This window comes from Homo sapiens, chromosome 1 (assembly GCF_000001405.40).
Source record: "Homo sapiens chromosome 1, GRCh38.p14 Primary Assembly".
Classification (NCBI taxonomy): Eukaryota; Metazoa; Chordata; class Mammalia; order Primates; family Hominidae; genus Homo; species Homo sapiens.
In genome coordinates this window covers 21,716,906-21,740,609 of record NC_000001.11, presented here as the reverse complement: position 1 = coordinate 21,740,609, position 23,704 = coordinate 21,716,906, and the positions used below count along the sequence as shown (strand labels likewise).

At 40.2% G+C, this 23,704-nt stretch overlaps 1 protein-coding gene across 18 annotated transcripts in view; it reads left to right on the top strand.

Moving 5' to 3' along the window:
- Positions 1-23,704, top strand: part of USP48 (ubiquitin specific peptidase 48) — a 104,852-nt gene that overhangs the window by 42,540 nt on the left and 38,608 nt on the right. For 4 of the 18 annotated variants that reach the window (NM_001330394.3, NM_032236.8, XM_011542264.2 and 1 more), the window contains 6 exons: positions 3,985-4,164; positions 10,778-10,906; positions 11,891-12,040; positions 16,515-16,712; positions 18,846-18,960; positions 19,444-19,574. In NM_001330394.3, the coding sequence (NP_001317323.1) occupies positions 3,985-4,164; positions 10,778-10,906; positions 11,891-12,040; positions 16,515-16,712; positions 18,846-18,960; positions 19,444-19,574 (903 nt within the window). Of the gene's footprint in view, positions 1-3,984; positions 4,181-10,777; positions 10,907-11,890; positions 12,760-16,514; positions 16,713-18,845; positions 18,961-19,443; positions 19,575-23,704 lie in introns of those variants that run through there. The other 14 variants (XM_047432027.1, NM_001350168.2, XM_047432033.1 and 11 more) reach the window with 10 other exon arrangements.

The following is a 23,704-nucleotide window of genomic DNA, read 5'->3' as shown; positions in this document are numbered from 1 at the left end:
GTCACTCGTCCCAGGACCACATCAAACAAAACTCTTGGCTTGGGGTTTTTCTGACTTCATAGGTAGTGTGAAATCATAGTAAAGAAATCTTTTTGAGGGCTAGCTTCTTATGAAGTTGTAATGGAGATTTCCTTTTGGTTTTTGATTTTTACCCCTAGGTCCCAAAATATAAGTATAAGGCAGATAATTTTCTCTTACCATTTCCTGTGGAGAGCAGATTCATTTTGATAATCTTCTAAACCAAAGAATTCTAGTTTCAAAGAAAATGTGGTATATATACACAATGGAATACTATTCAGGCTTAAATGGAAAGGATACTCTATCATGTGTGATCACATGGATGAATCTGGAGGACATTGTGCTATGTGAAACAAGCCGGGCTCAGAAAGACAAATACTGGCCTGGGCGCAGTGGCTCATGCCTGTAATCCCAGCACTTTGGGAGGCCAAGGCGGGTGGATCACCCGAGTTTGGGAGTTCAAGACCAGCCTGACCAACATGGAGAAACGCCGTCTCTACTAAAAATACAAAATTAGCCAGGCATGGTGGCGCATGCCAGTAATCCCAGCTACTCGGGAAGCTGAGGCAAGGGAATCACTTGAACCTGGGAGGTGGAGGTTGCAGTGAGCCCAGACAGCGCCATTGCGCTCCAGCCTGGGCAACAAGACCAAACTCCATCTCAAAAAAAAGACAAATACTGCATGATCTCATCGATACTATATATAGAATCTAAAAAAGTCAAACACGTACAAACAGAGAAGAAAATGGTGGTTACCAGAACCCAGGGAGTGGAGGTGGTGGATGGCAGAGGCGATGAGGAATGGGGAGGTGATGTTCAAAGAGTACAAAGCTTCGGTTCAACAGGACGAGTAAGTTTTGGAGCTTTATTGCATAGCATGGTGACTGCAGTTAATAATGCGTTGTGCATTTTGAAATAGCTAAAATAACAGATTTTAAGTGTTCTCACCACAGAAAATGGATATATTAGCTTGATTTAATCATTCCATGATGTAAACATATCAAACATCATATTGTACCCATAAATATATGCAAATATTATTTGTCTTTTTTTTTTTTTTTTTTTTTTTTTTTGAGACGGAGTCTTGCCTTGTTTTCCAGGCCGGAGTGCAATGGCATGATCTCGGCTCACTGCAACCTCCGCCTCCCGGGTTCAAGCAGTTTTCCTGCCTCAGCTTCCTGAGTAGCTGGGATTACAGGCACTCAATACCATGCTTGACTAATTTTTGTATTTTTAGTAGAGAGGGGGTTTCACCATGCTGGCCAGGCTAGTCTCAAACTCCTGACCTCAGGTGATCTGCCTGCCTCAGCCTCACAAAGTGCTGGGATTTAGGTGTGAGCCACTGCGCCCAGCCTGTTTGTCAATTAAAAAAAAACCTTAGTTTCCTGGTGGGAGTCCCCTGTTAGACTCCTCACCTTTTATGAACCTTAGCTGTTGTCTCTGATCCCGTAAGCCCTTTGAGATACGGAAAAACAGAGTTCAAGTCGATCATAGTGTTCCCCTAACACTCGCAGAGGGAAACTCTGTTGTCCTTACTACATGGCTTATTGCCTTCACATGGTATTGGGCTTCTGATAATTCTTATTTTCTTGACAATGCATTTAGAAAGATTTAAAAATATTTTTATCTTACCCAGTATCTTCAGTGTTTTCAGCTGGGGTGAGTTCAGTGGGTTTTGGCCCAGGTATTAATCTGCATTACTGTTTCCCCATCTATGCTTCAAGAATGCAGGGACTCTGTTCCTTTAGTTAATTAACTGCTGTATCCTTCATGCCTGAAACCGTGTCCAGTATGTTTACTGTTTGTCTAATGAGTGATTGGCTATACTCTGCTGTGATGTACTCTTTTGCATTTTTAAGGAAATTATAGCAATGAAATAGTCAAATTCTAGCCTGGGCAAGACAATGAGACCCTGTCTATAAAAAAAAAAAATGGGCCGGGCGTGGTGGCTCACACCTGTAATCCCAGCACTTTGGGAGGCCGAGGCAGATGGACCACTTGAGGCCTGCAGTTTGAGACCAGCTTGGCCAACGTGGTGAAACCCCATCTCTACTAAAAATACAAAAACTTAGCCAGGCATGATGTTGGGTGCCTGTAATCTCAGCTACTTGGGAGGTTGAGGCAAGAGAATCGCATGACCCCAGGGGGGCGGAGGTTGCAGTGGGCCGAGATCACACCATTGCACTCTGGCCTGGGCAACAAGAGTGAAACTCCATCTCAAAAAAAAAAAAAAAGGCCAGGCGTGGTGGCTTATGCCTGTAATCCCAGCACTTTGGGAGGCCGAGGCAGATGGATCACCTGAGGTCAGGAGTTCGAGACTAGCCTGGCCAACATGGTGAAACCCCGTCTCTACTAAAAATACAAAAATTAGCCGGGTGTGGTGGTGTGTGCCTGTAACCCCAGCTGCTTGGGAGGCTGGGGCAGGAGAATCACTTGAACCCAGGAAGCAGAGGTTGCAGTGAGCCGAGATCACGCCATTGCACTCCAGCCTGGGCAACATGAGCAAAACTCCATCTCAAAATAAATAAATAAATAAATAAAAATGTACACCTGTCATCCCAGCTACTCCTGGAGGTTGAGGTGGGAGGATTGTTTAAGCCCAGGAGGTTGAAGCTGCAGTGAGCTATGATTGTGCCACTGCACCCTAGTCTGGTGACAGAACAAGACCCCGTCTCAGGGAAAAAAAAAAAAATTGTCAAAGATCTGTGCAAAGATTTGTACTGTAAAGATAATTATTATTGCTTATAAAGGCCCTCAAACATTACCAGTTTAAATAAGTGTTCATTAATGTGGATGTGGTTAGGCATATTATGGTAATTATATATAGTCATTATAAGTAATTTTTAGAAGAATAATGATGTGAAAAGATATTATTTGTTGGAAAAAAACTGTAGGTTTCAGTATTAATTGTGGTTATGTGGGTTTATTAATGAATTGTTTTGTTTTCCAGTAAATAACAGAACATGTATAGTGGAAGTGATCTTTTCTAACACATTTTCCCCATAATTGCTTTAAGTTGAGGATCTTTACAAGATGTTTCTCAAATTTTAAGACATTTTAGTTCACTTTGAAATGTAAATGTTCATTTATTGTCAATATTTTGATGTATGTATAAAGCCTTTTCTTTTTGAATACCGTGTAAAATATAGGCTATGATTTGTAGATTTTATTTAATTAAAATAGCATAGGAACTTAAAATACGAAGAAATCTGAGTGCAGTATCATTCTAGATTTTTTAAGTTTTCATCCCTATATTTTCCAACTGTTTGGCCTACACCTGTTTTTATTTTTATTTTTTTCCAGCTTTAATGAGGTAGACTTGGCAAATGAAACTTTGATCTGAAGGTGCTAATGTGATGATACATGTGTCTGTGAAATGGTGACCACAATTGTGAGTCTGCATGTGTCATCTCAACGCGCTGGGTGTTAGATCTCCAGATCAAAGTTTGTGCCCTTGGACAAATGCCTACACCTGTTTTGAGAGCAAATTTTCATGACTTGCCGTCAGTTTTTGCCAAAGCATTTATCTTCTCTTCTATAAACAATAGCCTTTTCATTTGACATTCGTGTCTCCCTGGTTTGTATAAGTTTTAAGTTTCGTAACACACAGAGAGTATGAACAGCCGATTCTTGGGAAGCGTGTGGCCTCGCTAGTGTGTGCTGAAGAGCACGGTGTGTAGTAGAGTAGCTTATATTCCCTGAGTGCCCAGGAGGCCGTAGTTTTTCATCCGTGTATTTTGCAGAGGCTTGGAGAATTAATACAGTGTGCTGTTCAGAGTGTGTCTAAGAGAGTGTTAAGGGAGTGTAATTATACATTATTTTGTAAAACTAATTTGTAAAAATTTTAGGTGACATGTTTTTAGTTATACCACATGTGTAAAGATTCGTAATCATTACAATTCAGGCTCAGGATATAAGAAATAACTGTTATCCAACGTTTCTTTTACTTTCTCCCTTTCTCTCCAGGTGGGTCCTACGTGTATGAACTCAGCGCAGTCCTCATACACAGAGGAGTGAGTGCTTATTCTGGCCACTACATCGCCCACGTGAAAGATCCACAGTCTGGTGAATGGTATAAGTTTAATGATGAAGACATAGAAAAGATGGAGGGGAAGAAATTACAACTAGGGATTGAGGAAGATCTAGGTAAAACCTTTAAGTTGTGAGTGCCCTTTTAAAATATAAATTTATTTTACTAGAAATATTTGTGATAAATTATTATGGCTCAAGATTGTTATGTTACAGACTATCAAGGATATTTGCATTTCTTAAACACATGTAAAATCACTGAACATCTTGTATTAGCAATGCTTGTTTTTCGAGTCCGGTTCTTACTCTCTTGCCCAGGCTGGAATGCAGTGGTACAGTCATGGCTGACTGCAGCCTAAACCTGCTAGGCTCAAGTGATCTTCCTGCCTCAGCCTTCCCTTCCTAGTAGCTGGGCCTACAGATAAGTGCCACCACACCTGACAAAATTTTTTTTGTCAGGTAAAAATTTTGTCAAAATTTTTTTCAGTAAGAGAGAGTCTTACTCTGTCACTAAGGCTGGAGTGCAGTAACACCATCTTGGCTCACTGCAACCTCTGCCTCCTGGGTTCAAGCAGTTCTCGTGCCTCAGCCTCCTGAGTAGCTGGGATTACAGGCATGTGCCACAATGCTCAGCTAATTCTTCCTTTTCCTTCTCTTTCCTTTTTTTTTTTTTTTTTCCGCTCTTGTTGCCTTCTTGTCCAGGCTGGAGTGCAATGGCGAGATTTCGGCTCACTGTAAACTCTACCTTTCAAGTTCAAGTGATTCTCCTGCCTCAGCCTCCCAAGTAGCTGGGATTACAGGCATGTGTCACCACGGCTGGCTGATTTTGTATTTTTAGTAGAGACAAGGTTTCACAATGTTGGTCAGACTGGTCTCGAACTCCTGACCTCAGGTGATCCACCTGCCTTGGCCCCCCAAGGTGCTGGGATTACAGGCGTAAGCCACTGCACCTGGCCTTAATTTTTTCTATTTTTAATAGAGACAGGGTTTCACTGTGTTGGCCAGGCTGGTCTTGAGTTCCTGGCCTCCAGTGATCTGCCTGCCTTGAACTCCCAAAGTGCTGGGATTACAGGTGTGAACCATCATGCCCGGCCAACCTGGCAAAAATGTTTAAAACAATTTTTTTGTGGAGACGGGGTCTTACCTGGTTGCCCAGGCTAGTTTCGAACTCCTGAGTTTAACAGTCCTCCCGCCTTGGCCTCCCAAAGTGTTGGGATTACAAGGCATGAGCTACCACGCCCAGGTAGCAATGCTTGCTTTTTAAAATTTTAGTTAAAAAAATTTACAATTATTTTGTTCCAGAGATGGTTTTCATAATGTCATGTTTTCAGTAAAGCTTGAAGGCAAATGATCAGTTTTTAATTACCAGGTTTATTTAAGTGGGTAGGGGAGGATCATGGGCATTAAGTTAGTGATGATGAATAGTAGATTTAATGTAGTAGGATTTGTAATTATTTTCCTTGGGTCAGGAAATTTATTTTGGGGAACTAATTCTAGCAGGTAAACTTTGTTTCTCCTTCCTTTAAGTATCTTACCCAAATCCTTGAGCAGTGCTTCTGTGGAAAATGAGCTGGTTGCTACTGTGTAGTAGTGAGGTCTGCCATAAAGACTACTTCTTAAAATAGTATCCTAGTATGTACTTTCATCACCTCAGTTGTCTTGGGCCTAAGTACCCATTTATTTTCCAAAGGAATGGACAGTTTTTCTAGTTGGAGCCATCTCCTGAGCTCCATCTCCTGAGCTGTTTATCACTTTCTTCCCATTGTCTGTCAGACAGGTATAGGCAATTGTCCAAGGGCACATACTTTGTTCTGGAAATCTAACACACAGCACAGTGAGATGACACATGCAGACTCACAAGTGTGGTCATATCATTTCACAAGAAAGTGCTAAACAGCTTTGGATGAGGTTCAGACTATGGTATCTGAATTGGAGAAAAGAAATGGGAGTAAGTGTGTGTCTCCTGCCACTCTTCTTTCTTAATAGGTCAGAGACATTTATTCAAGGTGTCCAGTAGGCAGGAACATAGCAGTTGAGATTTGCTTTCGAGGCATATGCATCATCTCTACAGATAATCGTTTGTTAACTCCATTCATGTAGCTTGGAGAAGTCATTCTTTCACTTTTAAATTTTATTTTCTTTCCTTTTATTTATATATTTTTTTGAGACAGAGTCTTGCTCTGTTGCCCAGGCTGGAGTACAGTGGCATGAACATGGCTCACTGCAGCCTCGAACTCCTGGACTCAAATAATCCTCCTGCCTCAGCTTCCCAAGTAACTGAGACCACAGGTGTGATCCACCACACCTGGCTAATTTTGTAATTTGTTACAGAGACAGAGTCTCCCTGGGTTCCCCAGGTTGCTTTTGAATTCCTGCCCTTAGACGATCCTTGCACTTGGCCTCCCAAAAGTGTTGGCATTACAGACATGAGCTTCCGTGCCCAACCTGTTTTCTACTTTTAAATAACATTTCTGTGTTTATAGAACTTCAGCAATCTCGCTCCCATTTTACCTAAGTAAAACTCAAATTCTCAACATTTGCTTATACAGTGTATGTTTTCATTATGACATTCTTACTAGGAACAAAATTGAGATAGCACATTAACTGGGTTGAGCGAGGTGGCTTACATCTATAATCCCAACACTTTAGGAGGCTGAGGTAGGAGGATGCTTGAGCCCAGGAGATCAAGGCTTCAGTGAGCCATGATTGCACCACTGCACTCCAGCCTGGGCTACGGAGTGAGACCTTGTCTGAAAAAAAAGAAAAAAAAAAAGAACTTTAAATTGTGAAAAATTATGTCTTGGTTTTATTTGACTGTTTTTTACTGGGTTTTTTTAAAATCTATCTACATTCTAGGATTAAAAGCATTGTTAAGGCTGTCTTATATATGGGTAGTCCTAGATTTTAAAACAGTTCAAGAAAATACTTAACACCCATTGGTATCTCATTCCAGTGTTTTCATAACTCACTATTTTATGCAGCATATATTTTAGCTTTCATCTTTTAAATCAAAAATAGAAAATATTTTTAAATTTCATTAGACATTCATTATTATGTTGTATCCTGAAGTTTTATGAATCATTTTATATTCCATCTTATACAAAATCATTAACATCTTAAATCTTGGGTACTCTTTTTTTTGTTTTGAGACAGAGTCTTCCTCTGTCGGCCAGGCTGGAGTGCAATGGCGCGATCTCGGCTCACTACAACTTCCACCTCCCAGGTTCAAACGATTCTCCTGCTTCAGCCTCCTGAGTAACTAGGATTACAGGCACGTGCCACCACGCCTGACCAATTTTTTGTATTTTTAGTAGAGACGGGGTTTCACCATGTTGGCCAGGCTGGTTTCAAACTCCTGACCTCAAGTGATCCGCCTGCCTCGGCCTCCCAAAGTGCTAGGATTACAGGCGTGAGCCACCATGCCCAGCCTTGGGTACTCTTAATTAGGAATGGATGACTAACCTCCTCTTACCTGTGCATGTTCCTGGTATTTTAATTCCCTGTGACAGTACAGTGATCTTCCAACCTTTTTTGTTCAGGCGTTGTCTGTAAGAATGTTTAACATCCAAGCATAGGTGCAAGGGAAAACAAAAAAAGTTGAACAACTTTTTTTTTCTTTGCACATTTTAAAATCTAACAAATTTCATCATAAATTTTAAGTAGCTCCAAATGCTATAATTTATGACATAATGAATACTGAAACTTAAATTGTGACATCACTCTTTTAAGAATGTCCAGATTATATTAAATACCATAGAGGTTTTATATCCACCAGCATCCTTTTCAAGGATAACTGAACAGGTCTTGTTTTATAGTAGGCATTTTTAACAATTCTATTTTCTTCTGTACTACTATTTCCATTATGTTTACCCTACAGAATTTTATTCTAATGGAATATAGTAAGTTTTTTGTGACTGTAAAGCTCTAAATAGTTAAAAAGTACTTCTGGATAGAGTGCTGTTTTTAAAATTATGAATATTACTACATAATTGATAAAACTCATGAAAGTATGTTATAAATTTTATTAAACAGTAAAATTTTACTGTAAATGTACTTTTTTTGTAAATATATCTCAATGTGATAGATGAGACCTTTTTCTGTCACTGGCTGAGAGGTTATATCTTTCTTTTGTGACGTGGGAGTCAACTGATTGTGAAAAGAGAGGTAGAAACCATCGTGGGACCTCAGTGTTGAGGCAGATCCATTTTAGAAAAGCACGTGGTGAATTGAGGATCTGGTAACTGGATTTCCTTAGAACTGCCCATAACCTCTTTTTTTGTTTTTGAGACAGAGTCTCACTGTGTCGCCCAGGCTGGAGTGCAGTGGTGCTATCTTGGCCCACCACAATCTCCGCCTTCTGGGTTCAAGCAGTTCTCCTTCCTCAGCCTCCCAAGTAGCTAGGATTAGAGGGGCGCGTCACCATGCCTGGCTAATTATTTGTATTTTTAGTAGAGATGGGGTTTCACCACGTTGGCCAGACTGGTTTCGAATTCCTGATCTCAAATGATCCGCCGCTATAATCCCTTACCTCTCGGAAAGTTACCTGGAACGCTGAAACCCAATTTGAAAATCGTTTTCATGTGCTATAGTTGCCATCTGAAACACTTCATGTTTTCCAGTTGCTGTTTACGTCATAGAGATTAGTGGCTAATGTTTCTGGTTGTTAGCATTTCATTCCTTTTGTTTTTTCTTTTTGGAGACTGAGTCTCACTGTCACCCAGGCTGCAGTACAGTGGCGTGATCTTGGCTCACTGCAACCTCTGCCTCCTGGGTTCAACTGATTCTGCTGCATCAGCCTCCTGAGTAGCTGGGATTACAGACCCCTGGCTAATTTTTATAGTTTTAGTAGATACGGGCTTTTACTGTGTTGGCCAGGCTGGCCTCGAACTCCTGACCTCAGGTGATCTACCTGCCTCGGCCTCCCAAAGTGCTGGGATTACAGGCATGAGCCACCGCACCTGGCCCATTTCATTTCATTTTTAAAAATTATGCTATTTTAGGCTGGGTGGGGTGGCTCACTCCTGTAATCCCAGCACTTTGGGAGGCCGAGGAGGGAGGATCACCTGAGGTCAGGAGTTTGAGACCAGCCTGGCCAACGTGGTAAATCCTCATCTCCACTAAAAATGCAAAAATTACCCTGGCGTGGTGACACACGCCTGTAATCCTAGCTAATGGGGAGGCTAAGGCAGGAGAATCACTTGAACCTGGGAGGCAGAGATTGCAGTACACTGAGATCGTGCCATTCCACTCCAGCCTGGGAGACGAGCGAAATTCTGTCTCAAAAAAAGAAAAGAAAATATGCTATTTTATTTATTTGGGCAATTAAGTCTAGATTTATTTGTATTATTTTGACTAAATTGAAGAAAATCTGTTTACTAAAATGATTACTGAGCTAATTTTTATTTTTCAAACTGTACATATACATTTTATATATACTTTTATTAAAAAACAACATTAAAACAAATACTTGTGTACCAAGCAATCATTGAGAATAAAAATATTTCAGCCAGGTGCAGTGGCTCACGCCTGTAATCCCAACACTTTGGGAGGCTGAGGCGGGCAGATTGTGAGGTCAGTAGATCGAGACCATCCTGGCCAACATGGTGAAATCTTCTCTCTACTAAAAATACAAAAATTAGCTGGGTGTGGTGACACGTGCCTGTAATCCCAGCTACTTGAGAGGCTGAGGCATGAGAATCGCTTGAACCCAGGAGGTAGAGGTTGCAGTGAGCCAAGATCGCGCCACTGCACTCTAGCCTGCCGACAGAGCAAGACTGTCTCAAAAAAAAAAAAAAGAATAAAAATATTTCCAGTAGAGTTGAAGTCCCATATTCCCTTTAGTGATTGCATCAGTCTTGATTTTTATTTATTTATTTTTTTGAGGCAGAGTTTCACTCTGTCCCCCAGACAGGAGTGCAGTGACACACTGCAACCTCTGCCTCCTGGGTTCAAGCGATTCTCCTGCCTCAGGCTCCCGAATAGCTGGGATTACAGGCATGTGCCAACATGCCCGACTAATTTTTGTGTTTTTAGACAGATGGGTTTTCACCATGTTGGCCAGGTGTGAGCCACCGCACCTGGCCTGTTTTTATTTTTTAATTTAATTTAATTTAACTTTTTCTTTTTCATGAGACAGAGTCTTGCTCTGTCACCCAGGCTGGAGTGTGATCTCGGCTCACTGCAACCTCTGCCTCCTGGGTTCAATCGATTCACTTGTGTCAGCCTCCCAAGTAGGTGGACTGCAGGTGCGCACCACCACACCTGCTTAATTTTTGTATTATTAGTAGAGACAGGGCTTCTCCATGTTTTGGCCAGGCTGGTCTTGAACTTCTGGCTTCAAGTGATCTGCCCATCTTGGCCTCCTAGAGTGCTATGATTACAAGCATGAGCCACTGTGCCCGGCTTCAGTTAATTTTTGTAATTTAAGACTAACATAAAAATCAGCTTATGGCAATAGTGATTTTTTTGTTGTTGTTCTAGGTTTGTTCCCCAGAAAAATGTATTTTCTTTTTACCTTTAAAAAATAGAATGTGGCAGGCAATAGTGGTAGTAAACTTTTTTAAATATTAAAGCTAAAGAGCCTGCCAAATTTCTATGGCCTTTGAATGTTTTAGATTGGTGTTAATGTGTCTTGGGTGTATATTTTGGAAATTGTTTTCTATAGCCCCGCTAAAGAATAAACAAACTCTAGGCACTTAAGTTAAGGTACCTTTTGATTTCTCTATCTCAGCAGAACCTTCTAAGTCTCAGACACGTAAACCCAAGTGTGGCAAAGGAACTCATTGCTCTCGAAATGCATATATGTTGGTTTATAGACTGCAAACTCAAGAAAAGCCCAACACTACTGTTCAAGTTCCAGGTAAAGCAGTTTTCCAGGATTATAGCAGGCAAATGTTTTAGAATGCCATACTCAAAGATTAATGATAAGTAATGGATTGCTTTTAGTTACTATGATAAATTGATTCCATAAGGTGAATGTTGGTGAAAGTAAATATTAATTGCAAATTTACTTTTAAGAAAGGAGCTTCTGAAATAAAGCAATGCAATTATTAAAAAATCAGAAAGTAATCAAAACATGTATTTAAAGTATAATTTGGTTTTATTTTGTTCGGTTTATAGAGTATTTGTGAATTTTATTTAATTATCTATAGATATTCTAGACTTCATAATATAAAAGGTAGAGTTGTTGCTGCCCTGAAGACAGTCTGAGTCTGAATCATTTTACTCAGCACTTTTCTAAGCTTGGTGGCATCATCTATTCTTTCTTTTTTTTTTTTTTTTGAGGCGGAGTCTCATTCTTTCGCCCAGGCTGGAGTGCAGTGGTGCAGTCTCAGCTCACTGCAACCTCTGCCTCCTGGGTTTAAGCAGTTCTGTGCCTCAGCCTCCCGAGTAGCTGGGATTACAGGTGCGTGCCACCACGCCCAGCTAATTTTTGTATTTTTAGTAGAGATGGGGTTTCACCATCTTGGCCAGGCTGGTCTTGAATTCTTGACCTCACGATCCACCCGCCTCAGCCTTCCAAAGTGCTGGGATTACAGGTATGAGCCACTGCGCCCGCCTGGCGTCATCTATTCTAAAGTGGTGATTTTGAGCCATTCGATTGTTCTGGGAGGCTGATGATGTCATGGAGAGCTAGGTGGGGGGAATCAATTTAGGATTATTCCAGTGGCTGTCTTCACTTTTACTTCTGCCTTCAGTTTGGAGGTTTCTAGCAGACAGGGAGACCATAGTTGGAATTTCTGCCAATGTTTTAATCAGTATTTGATATGATTTAGAGATTAGCATGGTTCACTATATGTGAAAACAAGAATAAAGTTGTTTTTTGTCTTTCTGTTTTGAATAGCCTTTCTTCAAGAGCTGGTAGATCGGGATAATTCCAAATTTGAGGAGTGGTGTATTGAAATGGCTGAGATGCGTAAGCAAAGTGTGGATAAAGGAAAAGCAAAACACGAAGAGGTTAAGGAGCTGTACCAAAGGTTACCTGCTGGAGCTGGTCTGTAAGATATTCTGGGACAGCACTGTTGCCATTAAGTGCCTTGTTTTTTTATGTTCACAAATGTATATGAAGAAACTTTCTCAAACTTACTCTTTCTAATAACCCACTAAAGCCAGCTTAAACACTCTAAAAGTACTTTGTAAACCAACAATAACTTGATGTGTAGCATTCCATATTATTTCATTACGTTGTACTCCTAAAAATGGGAAGCTGTTAATAAATTATAACATTTAGGTCAGCACTCTGCATCCATGAGTATTGTAGATATTTATATTTTGTGAGATATTAACTTGTTTAAGAAAAATCCGATTGGATTACTATGGAAAAAGCAACTTGCCTGTTCTGTTTCTTTGCATACTTTGTGACCTAACAGTTTTAACAGACATTCTATTATATGAATACAGTTTTTTTGATACTATTAGATTAACTTGAAGTTTAATACCAAATATTATGCTAAGAGTAGAAAAGCTTTCTGCTGACCCCTGATTTCTTAGAAATATCCCACATAATCCAGCTTATCCCTTTTCTGTATATGTTTATTCAGGTTTACCTGATGTCTCAAAATGAAACCAAATTAAGCCTTTTTAAAGGCTGATGTGCCATTTGTATTAAGTTATCTTTGTCATTTTAAAGACATGAATTCCCCAAGCCTAATTCCTACTTAAGGAAGAGAGACAATTTAGTCCTTACTTTAGAAAATAAATACTTAAGCATAATTGTACTTGTGGTTTGTCTTTTTAATATCTTAATTTTCCATTACTAGTATAACTTTAAGCAAAATGTAAACAAAAATTGCCAAGTCTATAAGAATATATTTTAACTAAATTTTAATTCAATTCTGACCCTTCTTTGTAATCTGTTACTTTAACTCTGTCCAAGGGTTGGGATTACCCTAAATAATTAAACTGACCTTAATGTAACTGGAAATGATTTGGAAATGAACCCATGATTCAGATCTCTAAATTTATAGGTCTTTGTTCAAAGGTGTTGGGACCTAGAAATCTATTTTCCAAACTTTATTCACGGTTTCCTGTGTCCACTGGGCAAGAGAAAGGGACTTAACTGGGTCTAAAGTGAAATACTCATTTGAACCACTCTTTAGAACTATAGAGTTCAAAGATGTTATGTGTCAAGTTAGCACTGTGCTTCCTTTGGCTGTTTTCATTCAGCATATAGGAACCTTATGTTCTTAGAATATGCTTATGTTCTTAGAGTATTTCTCTGTGTTATTTATACTTTTACCAATTATGAGCTATATAATTCTTTTCCATTTGCAGTAAACTTATATTGTAGACAGTCCACGCTGTAAAATTATGTAGAATCTCAAAGTTAATGAGCATGGTTTTGTGCTGGCAAGAGAAGTCTTTTGTTATGCATTTTCTAAATCTTATTTTTGTGTGTGAACATATTTAAAAAAACAAAGATCACTTACCCTAAAATCTAAGCCTCAGTAGGAACGTGCTTTTGGCCCTTTTTATTTCCATTGAAATATACTTAAATTATCTCTAGGTAAAGTGTTTCAGATGTTTTTGATGCTGTGATTGTTCTAGACTTTATAACTTTCCAAAGAAAATGTGTCATGTTCAAAATCCAGGTTTTTTTTTTTCTTTTTAAAGAACTTTGAACCAAAATGTATATTTCCCTGTGGTAAATATTTTAATATTTTGCTTTCCTCATCAAATGCTGAGGTTTCATATAGTCCGGTATCTCCAGCTTGATAATAGGAGAGTTCTCCCTCATTTGGAGTTGATTATGTCCATGGCCTTTGGAAAGCAATGCTTGTAGTTTACTGAATCACAAATACTAGGGAATATATTTGAGGGGCCTACTTAGAGTCTTTTTCTAGTGCAGAAACATCTGTAGTGTAAAAACTTTGCCACAAACAGAATCTGCCTTAACTATGAGACTTGTGCTCCACTTGTATTCTCAGGCAAGCTCTTGGCAGAGTCAGTGCAACTCTTTATGATGATAGAGACTGAAAATGGAAAGAAAGACAGACTTCTGTGACCATAGTCACTCTTCCTTCATGGAGCCCACAGCGCACTAAAGTGAAATCTGGAGAACTTGCTGTTAGTAGTAAGCATGGTATTAGATTAGAATTATAGGCCTGTTCTCTGCTTTCTGTCTTCCTCCTCTTACTATAAAACCGTACATAGTTTTTCTAATCATTGTATCTTACATTAAATTTATATTGAACAATTCAAAAACCAAAACAACAAGCTTTCCTTGGAAGTTTTCTGTGAGATTGGAAAATGTTGTCTTGCCTTTGAGCCACATTGTTGCTGGACAGTCAGGGCCACAGTCACCCTAGGCTTTGAATTCCTGCAGACATCCCCTGGCAAGGAGGGCTTTGTGCATTTTGAGCTTTCCTAGATTCCTTTCATTGTGAGGGCCAGGATTCTTAGGGTGTTTTCTTTCAGTTAGCAATAACAGATACTGCTGTCTGTCCACTCCTCCCCAGCTGCTGGGGAAACTAGGATGCCTAGTGACTTATTCTTGAATGTTGCTCTTTATCACAATCCTGTTTTTTCTCCTTTGATAGCCTTCATATTGCTTACCATTTTAATCTAATTGACTGTCCTTGGGAAAAGATGAGAGTATGCTAAGACTTTGATCTTGCTTTCAGAAAGGGATCATTTATCTTTGCATTCCCCAGATACCCAGTGTACTCTATCCCTGGCAGATTAAGCTTGATAAATGGCAAATAAAGTCGGGAGGCATTTTGAATGTAATTAGCCATACCATGATATACTGTAAAGTGCTGCAGCTGTGTTACATATACTGCATCTTAAAGTCTCCTCTTTTTTTTTTTTGAGATGGAATTTCACTCTTGTTGCCCAGGCTAGAGCGCACTGGTGCAATGTCAGCTCACCACAACCTCCGCGTCCCGGGTTCAAGTGATTCTCCTGCCTCAGCCTCCCGAATAGCTGGTATTACAGTCGTGTGCCGCCATGCCCAGCTAATTTTTTGTATTTTTAGTACAGACGGGGTTTCTCCCTGTTGGTCAGGCTGGTCTCAAACTCTGGACCTCAGGTGATCTGCCCGCCTCGGCCTCCCAAAGTGCTAGGATTACAGGCGTGAGCCACCATGCCCAGCCAAGGTCTCCTCTTTTATATATTAAGTTTACGTAAATGTATAATTAACTTTTCCATATCTCTTTTCTTCCAAAAAGCTCAAAATGCTTCACATAGCTTATCTTTTATACTCAACAACATTCCCATGAGGTAGGTAGAAGGCAGGTATTATTACCTTCATTTTACAAATAAAAGACTGGAAACATAGAAAGTTTAAGTGACTTGTTCAGGTTCATTTTCTTGGTAGCAGAACTTGGATTAGACCGTGACCTCGACTCACAGTCCTGTGCTCTTCCTCTGGAGCCACATTCGACTTGACCAGTTAGAAGGCTCTTAGTTGATGATGTACAGTGCCAAATTTTGTTTTCATAAAAATTGAGATGGTTTACTGTAAAATTAAAATGGGAGTTAGTTTTCTAGACATGTAACTCTCTGGGGAGTATAAAACTGGTCACAATGGGCTTTGCGTTGAAGTATCTGTCCCTCAGATCTCATCAGAAGGAGTATATAATACAAAAATATAAATTCAACCTCTGTATGTTTTCTTCTATGTTTTATGCTGGGACTCACTGGAGATCTTTGTAAGTAATCAAAGCTGGCCCTTTATCTTTGATTTTGGCTTTTAGGGAATTCTAGGGACTTCCTTTCCCCAAATTAAAACTCATTTTGAGGTGTTTGGTTTTGTCTTTTAATTTTTGCAACTTCAAAATTGATGACTCAGTTCTAGTGTACTTTATCCTCGAACTTGTTTAAAATAGGTTACTTTCTTGAAATAAATAATAATATAATGAAGAGATCATGACTTGGATTTGGGTGGGGGAATTAAATACCTTTTCAAAATTGCCATCAGTATCATCTTGGATGAAGAAAGTTCAGTGGTTAAAAGCGTCTTCTGAAGTGTGGTCATAGTCGGTGAGGTTTATTTCAGTTTGGCTTCTCATTTTAATTTTCAGATGTATATCACATATATGTGAAAAGTACTGACAAAAATAATTTATGAAATAAACACAGTAGGGCATGAGGTTGTGTTATTTGTGAGGCAGCAATGGAGCATGACTTGTAGTCAACAAACATGGGTGTCCTGATCAAAGCTCTGCTGTGCTATTCGGCAAGACTCTATGTGGATGCCTCTTGTAGAATGTGGTTAATAATACCAGCCGATCTCATAGGGCACTGTGCAGACTCAGCATTATGGTGCACAGCTCCTTGAACTCATAGGAGTGGCACTTAACTGGAGCTTTGTGTCGTACTCATCAAACATCTTCCCCCAGACAATGATTCTTCTGATTCTGCTAACTCTGGACAGAGTTTGCATTGTCTTTTGAGAAAAATGAATGTATCACTTAGTCAAAAAACTGTAAAAATACATAGGCTCTTTCCGATGCTTGCTTTCTCAGAGCCCTATGAGTTTGTCTCTCTGGAATGGCTGCAAAAGTGGTTGGATGAATCAACACCTACCAAACCTATTGATAATCACGCTTGCCTGTGTTCCCATGACAAGCTTCACCCGGATAAAATATCAATTATGAAGAGGATATCTGAATATGCAGCTGACATTTTCTATAGTAGATATGGAGGAGGTCCAAGACTAACTGGTAATTCAAGATGTCCTCTCTGTTTAAAAAAGAGCAGCTCATTAAATCTTCATCTTATGGTCTTTATGAGTGTGGCTTATGATGATTTGACCCAAACTATGCTAGACCAAATATTCCTTACACTTTGCACAAAGGATTTGCTAAATAAAGTAGAAGTTAAGCAACTGATGCTATTCATAGAGGGTTGGTTGGGGTTTTTTGGTTTGTTTTTTTGGTTTGTTTCTTTTAACCCCTCTCAAAGCAGACAAAATAGGACCCTTTTAAGAAAACTGTCTGGTAGTAGTTTGTTACTCTGTGTAATACTGTTTAAGGTACTTGAGCCCTTGTCTGGTTAATTGCAAGTTTGTGCCTCCATGTTATGGTGACTTCTTTTTTTTTTTTTTTGAGATGGAGTCTCACTCTGTTACCCAGGCTGGCGTGCAGTGGCTCAATCTCGACTCACTGCAACCTTCGCCTCCTGGGTTCAAGTGATTCTCGAGCCTCCCGAGTAGCTGAGATTACAGGTGCGCACCACCATGCCCAGCTAATTTTTGTATTTTTAGTAGAGACGGGGTTTCACTGTGTTGCCCAGGCTGGTCTCAAACTCCTGGGCTCAAGTGATCCACTCAACCTCGCCCTCCCAAAGTGCTGGGATTACAGGCAAGAGCCACCACACCCGCCCAGCTATGGTGACTTCTAACAGTGTGTGAGCTGTAGATGGTTACTTAGTTTATGAATGGAAGCTACTTGATTCTCCCTTAAATATAGAGCTATATATGACCACATAGTACCCAACCATAGTATTTTGTTTTGGCTGCCTTTCTGTTGTGCCTCCTTGAAACATTTTTCTTTTTACATGAGTAGCTGCCAACACAATCCTCCCTCCAATTTTCAGATGAGGCTGTAGGAAATTACATGACACCTCCCTCCCCAATACACTTTTTCTGTAATTAAGTGCTGTTTTCTAATGGTATACAACTTATTGCATAAAACTTGATATTTAACTACATGCTGCAGGCCTTCTGTTAAACACGACTGGAGTTTTGCTTCCTAAATTTCTGGGAATTTTTGTTTTTGTTTTTTTGAGACAGTGTCTCACTCTGTTGCCCAGGCTGGAGTGCAGTGGTGCAATCACAGCTCACTGCAGCTTCAACCTCCTCAGGCTCCCGTCTCAGTCTTCCAAGTAGCTGGGACCACAGACATGCACCACCATGCCTGGTTAAGTTTTGTATTTTCTGTAGAGATGGTGTTTCATCATGTTGCCCAGGCTGGTCTTGAACTCCTAGGCTCAAGTGATTGACCTGCCTCGGCCTCCCAAAGTGCTGGGATTACAAGAATGGGCCACCATATCTGGCCCCTGTTTTTTTTTTTTTTTTCTCTGAGACAGAGTCTTATTCTGTTGCCCCAGCTGGAGTACAGTGGTGGAATCGTAGTGCACTACAGCCTAGAACTTCTAGGCTTAAGCAGTCCTCCCACCTCAGCTTCCCAAGTAGCTAGGACTACAGGCACACATCACCATGGCTTGCTAATTTTTACACTTTTTGTAGAGACAGGGTCTCACTATGTTGCCCAGGCTGGTCTCAAACTCCTGTCCTCAAGCTACCCTCCCTGCTTGGCTTCCCAAAGCTCTTGGTGGTATGAGCCACTATACCTGCCACTGTTCTTAATTCACAATGAATAAACCATGCAATAGGAAGAGCGTTCACATTTTAGATGATTCCTAAAACTTCTTTGTGTTTTAAACCAGGCCCTTCATTTTGCTTTTCCTTTTAGTGTGCTTTGAAGATCACTTTCACATGAAGATCATTATTTATAATTATCAGCTATATTTAACCCCCCCACCTTAGAACCTCAGTGATTTGATTATCATCTTGTAAAGATTGCATGTAAACCTTGTCAGATACTGTATTTAGATACTTTTAATGTAATACAACATTTTGTCTCTCATTGTTCTTTATTCAGATAACAGTATTGCCGTCTTGGTTTCTAATTGTCTTAGTAAAATAATTTAGGGTATATACCAATTTGCCATATTGCCAACATTTGTGACTTTGGTTTAGAATGTGTCTGTGTTTGTGAAGTGCTGAAAACATTTTCCTAACAGGAAGTCTGTTTGAATGAAATATATTTCCTTTCATTCTTTCTTGCCTGTAGTGAAAGCCCTGTGTAAGGAATGTGTAGTAGAACGTTGTCGCATATTGCGTCTGAAGAACCAACTAAATGAAGATTATAAAACTGTTAATAATCTGCTGAAAGCAGCAGTAAAGGGGTATGTTGCACAGTGTACATTGTTAATGATAAACTAAGAAGTTTTCAAGAGGTCATAACCAAGCATCTCGTTATTTATTAAAAATAGGAAGTTGGGATTTTTAGAAGAAGGGTGATAAAGTGGATGGTAGAGCCAGATCAAAAGTAAATTTTGCAATGACTGCCCCTGTGGCAACGATAAAGAAAACTGCTGAGTCAGATAGCCTTTGCCACTGTATTCCATCCTACCATTTGATTGGTGTGATTGGCTTGAAGGTAGGAAAAGCAGGATAATATTTAGAATGGAAACAAAATATTAGATCCCTGCAGTTCAATAGTGAACAGAGAAAATGACCGAAATTAGGAAGTGGGTTAAAATCAATTACATGTACAGTAGCTGATGTTGAGTGTTTGTAATTCACTTTAGTTGTTTTTACAGGCAAAGAAGGGAGGACAGTGTTTGGAAATATTACTTATATGATTTAACATTCTCTCTGTTCCACAGCAGCGATGGATTTTGGGTGGGGAAGTCCTCCTTGCGGAGTTGGCGCCAGCTAGCTCTTGAACAGCTGGATGAGCAAGATGGTGATGCAGAACAAAGCAACGGAAAGATGAACGGTAGCACCTTAAATAAAGGTAACACTTTAAACCTATGTGTAGATCATTGTGAAACTATACCATGAAAATATAAGTGGGCCAGGCACGGTGGCTCATTCGTGTAGTCCCAGCTACTTGGGAGGCTCAGACGGGCAGATCACTTGAGCCCAGCGGTTGTGCCAGCCCCACTGCACTCCAGTCTGGGTAACAGAGTGAGACCCTGTTTCCCTAAAAAACAATTTTAGTCTGGGTGCGGTGGTTCATGCCTATAATCCCAGCACTTTAGGAGGCCGAGGCAGGTTGATCACTTGAGGTCAGGTGTTCAAGACCAGCCTGAGCAACATGGTGAAACCCCGTCTCTACTAAAAATACAAAAATAATTAGCCAGGAGTGGTGTTGCACACCTGTGGTCCCAGCTACTCGGGAGGCTGAGGCAGTAGAATCGATTGAACCCAGGAGTTGTAGGTTACCATGACCCAAGATTGCGCCACTACACTGCAGCTTGGGCGGCAGAGCGAGACTCTGTCTCTTAAAAAAAAAAAAGAAAAAGAAAAACCCAAAAAATGAGCAAAATTGGTTTCATACCCATCCATGTAATTTTAAAGACAACTTTTATTAAACTACAAGCTCTCACAAGTAGCTCAGAGCAAATAAAAGATTTTTAAGCTATTGAAATTCAGCAAGGACTCAGCAACTCACATGTGAAATTTTCCTTTATAACCTATCATGCTTCGGGCTCAAGCTCTCTCTAGTTAATCACATGCAAAATTAATATTAATTCTGTTCTAGGCTAAGAGTTTCAAGAAAGGTTAAGTCTACTGCAAATTGGCATAATATATTGTATGCTCAGTACATTTTGGTTTTGGATTATCTGCCACACTGCCTTTGTCAAGTAAATGAGCTTGTACTTCTTTATCTTTCATCAAATAGAGAGGGCAGCTTTTAAATAGCTTTTTCCTTGTAAATTCCTCTGAGTTTCCTATGCTTTCAAATCAGAAATTATGTTGTTTTAAAGCAAACACTAAATTTAATTCTATAATCAGTGGTTCATAAGATGTCAAGGAAATTTATTACTTTAATGTTCTTGACCTTTATTGAAATATTCTGTATTTTCTGCATTCAAGCATTTCATATCATTTGTATCATTATTTTTTATTTTTTAAGTTTTTATTTTATTTATTTATTTATTTGAGATGGAGTTTTGCTCTTTTTGCTCAGGCTGGAGTGCAGTGACGCAGTCTCGGCTCCCTGCAATCTCCGCCTCACTGCAACCTCTGCCTCCTGGGTTCAAGCGGCTCTCCTGCCTCAGCCTCCCGAGTAGCTGGGATTACAGGTGCACACCACCACGCCCAGCTAATTTTGTATGTTTAGAAGAGACAGGGTTTCACCATGTTGGCCAGGCTAGTCTTGAACTCCTGACCTCCCAAAAGTGTTGGGATTACAGGCGTGAGCCACCGTGCCTGACCAGTTTTTATTTCTTTTAAATTCTAGAGATAAGGCCTCACTATGTTGCCCAGGCTAGTCTCCCAACTCCTGTGCTCAAGCGATCCTCCCACCTTGGCTTCCCAAAGTGCTGGGATTATAGGTGTGAGCCACTGAGCCTCGCCCATTTCTGTCACTTTATATTATATTTATTTTATTTGGTATTGATCTTCCTATCTCACTACCTTACTTTTTGGGAAAACCAACCCAGTATTAGTTTTAAACTCTTTGAGCTGTGATTAACATTTTCAAACTTGAAGAGTTTTTACTTTTATTTTCTTTTTTGAGACTTTTTTTTTTTTTACTTTTTTGAGATGGAATATCACTCTGTCCCCCAGGCTGGAGTGCAGTGGCATGATCTTGGCTCACTGCAACCTCTGCCCCCCCGCCCCCCGTCCCTCCGCCCAGTTCAAGTGATTTTCCTGCCTCAGCCTCCCAAGTAGCTGGGATTACACATGTGCCACCATGCCCGGCTAATTTTTGTATTTTAGTGGAGATGGGGTTTCACCATGTTGGCCAGCTGGTCTTGAACTCCTGAGCTCAAGTGATCTGCCCACCTTGGCCTCCCAAAGTGCTAGGATTACAGGTGTGAGCTACTGCACCCAGCTGAGTTTTTACTTTTGATTAAAATGTTTTATTGTGCTATATAATTCATGAACTTAACATCAATTTGAGTTCTAGTATCCTGTCATTTGAAAAACCGTACTATAATTTTAATGATAACATGTGACTTAGTGTTAAATATTTATTTACTGCTTTTTAAAACCTCTTTAATTTGGGAGGCCGAGGTGGGCAGATCACAAGGTCACAAGTTCGAGATCAGCCTGACCAACATGGTGAAACCCCTTCTCTACTAAAAATACAAAAATTATCCAGGCGTGGTGGCATGCACCTGTAATCCCAGCTACTCAGGAGGCTGAGGCAGGAGATCATTTGAATCCGGGAGGAGGAGGTTGCAGTGAGCTGAGATGGCACCACTGCATTCCAGCCTGGGCGACAGAGCACGACACCGTCTCAAAAAAAAAAAAGAAAAAGGCCTCTTTATATATCAGTGTCCCTTCATTTTTAGTAAAATTGGATGCCATAATAGAAAGTGCCTTCATGTTGGCATAGCTTAAAAGTATTTTTCATGTTGCTTTCAGAGTAATATGTCTCTATTCTCCTTCCCCCATTAAAACATTTCAAAAGCTTCAAGCAGCACAAATGTGACAAAGTAGAACTTCAAAGCCTTCCCACCAGATACAATCACTGTAAATAGTGGCTTTTTATAATACAGCTCATATGGGCACAGTTGTACATCTCTCCCTGTCAAAACATACAGCCCTTTTTATTGATTAATTGCATTTTGTTTTGTGGATCCATTATGTTTATCTGATTCTATTTTAATTTTTTACATGACTATGTACACACAGATGCAGTGAGGGTCCTTTTGTGTCCTGTACTTACATCATTACAGAATTTTCCGATTATTTCTGAGAAATAAGTTCCTAGAAATTGCTGGATCAGAGAATTATAAATACTTACAATTGCCACATACTGACACATATTGGTAAATTTTCTTCAATATATGCATATTAGGGGCTTCATTTTTGCATGCTTTTGTCAACATAAAGAATACATCCGTCACATCAGTTTTGTTTTGTTTTGTTTTGTTTTTGAGACGGAGTCTCCCTCTGTTGCCCAGTCTGGAGTGCAGTGGTGTGATCTCGGCTCACTCCAACCTCCACCTCCTGGGCTCAGCCTCCGGAGTAGCTGGGATTACAGGCATGCACCAGCACAGTGGGCTAATTTTTGTATTTTTAGCAGAGAGAGGTTTTTGCCATGTTGACCAGGCTGATCTTGAACTCCAGACCTTAATCTGCCCACCTCAGCCCTCCAAAGTGCTGGGATTACAGGCATGAGCCACCGTGCCCGGCAGTCACATCAGTTTTTATCAGCCTGATATAGGAAGTTAGACTTAGCAGTGTTGAGGCTTAATGTTTTTCAAAATGTCATTGAGGTTGACCATCTTCTTAGGCTTGAGAAGTTATTTGTGTGTGTGACAGAGAGAAAAAGAGGAGACAGAATTATCTGGTTGTATCCTTCCTTTGCCCATTTTTTTACTTGATTTTTGTGGGGTTTTTTTGTTTGTTTGGTTGGTTGGGTTTTTTTTTATTTGTTTTGTTTTTGTTTGTTTTGTTTTGTTTTTTTAGACAGGATCTCTCTCTTTCACCCTGGCTGGAGAGCAGTGACGCAATTGCAACTCAATGCAGCCTCCACCTCATGGGCTCAAACAGTCCTCTCACCTCAGCCTCCTGAGTAGCTGGGACCCCAGGTGCGTGCCACCACGCCCAGATAATTTTTGTACTTTTTGTAGAGATGGGGTTTCGCCATGTTGCTCAGGCTGGTCTTGAACTCCTGGGCTCATGTGATCTGCCTGCCTTTGTCTTCTCAAAGTGCTGGGATTACAAGCGTGAGCCACTGTGCCTGGCCTCTACTTCAGTTTTTGAATGATTAGTAGATATTTTTTGTATTAATTGTAGTAAAAATGTGTGAAGTTCTTAACCTGGAAAACCCATGGATAATTATTTTTTTTTTGAGACGGAGTCTCGCTCTGTCGTGCAGTGGCGCCATCTGGGCTCACCATAAGCTCTGCCTCCCGGGTTCCCGCCATTCTCCTGCCTCAGCCTCCTGAGTAGCTGGGACTA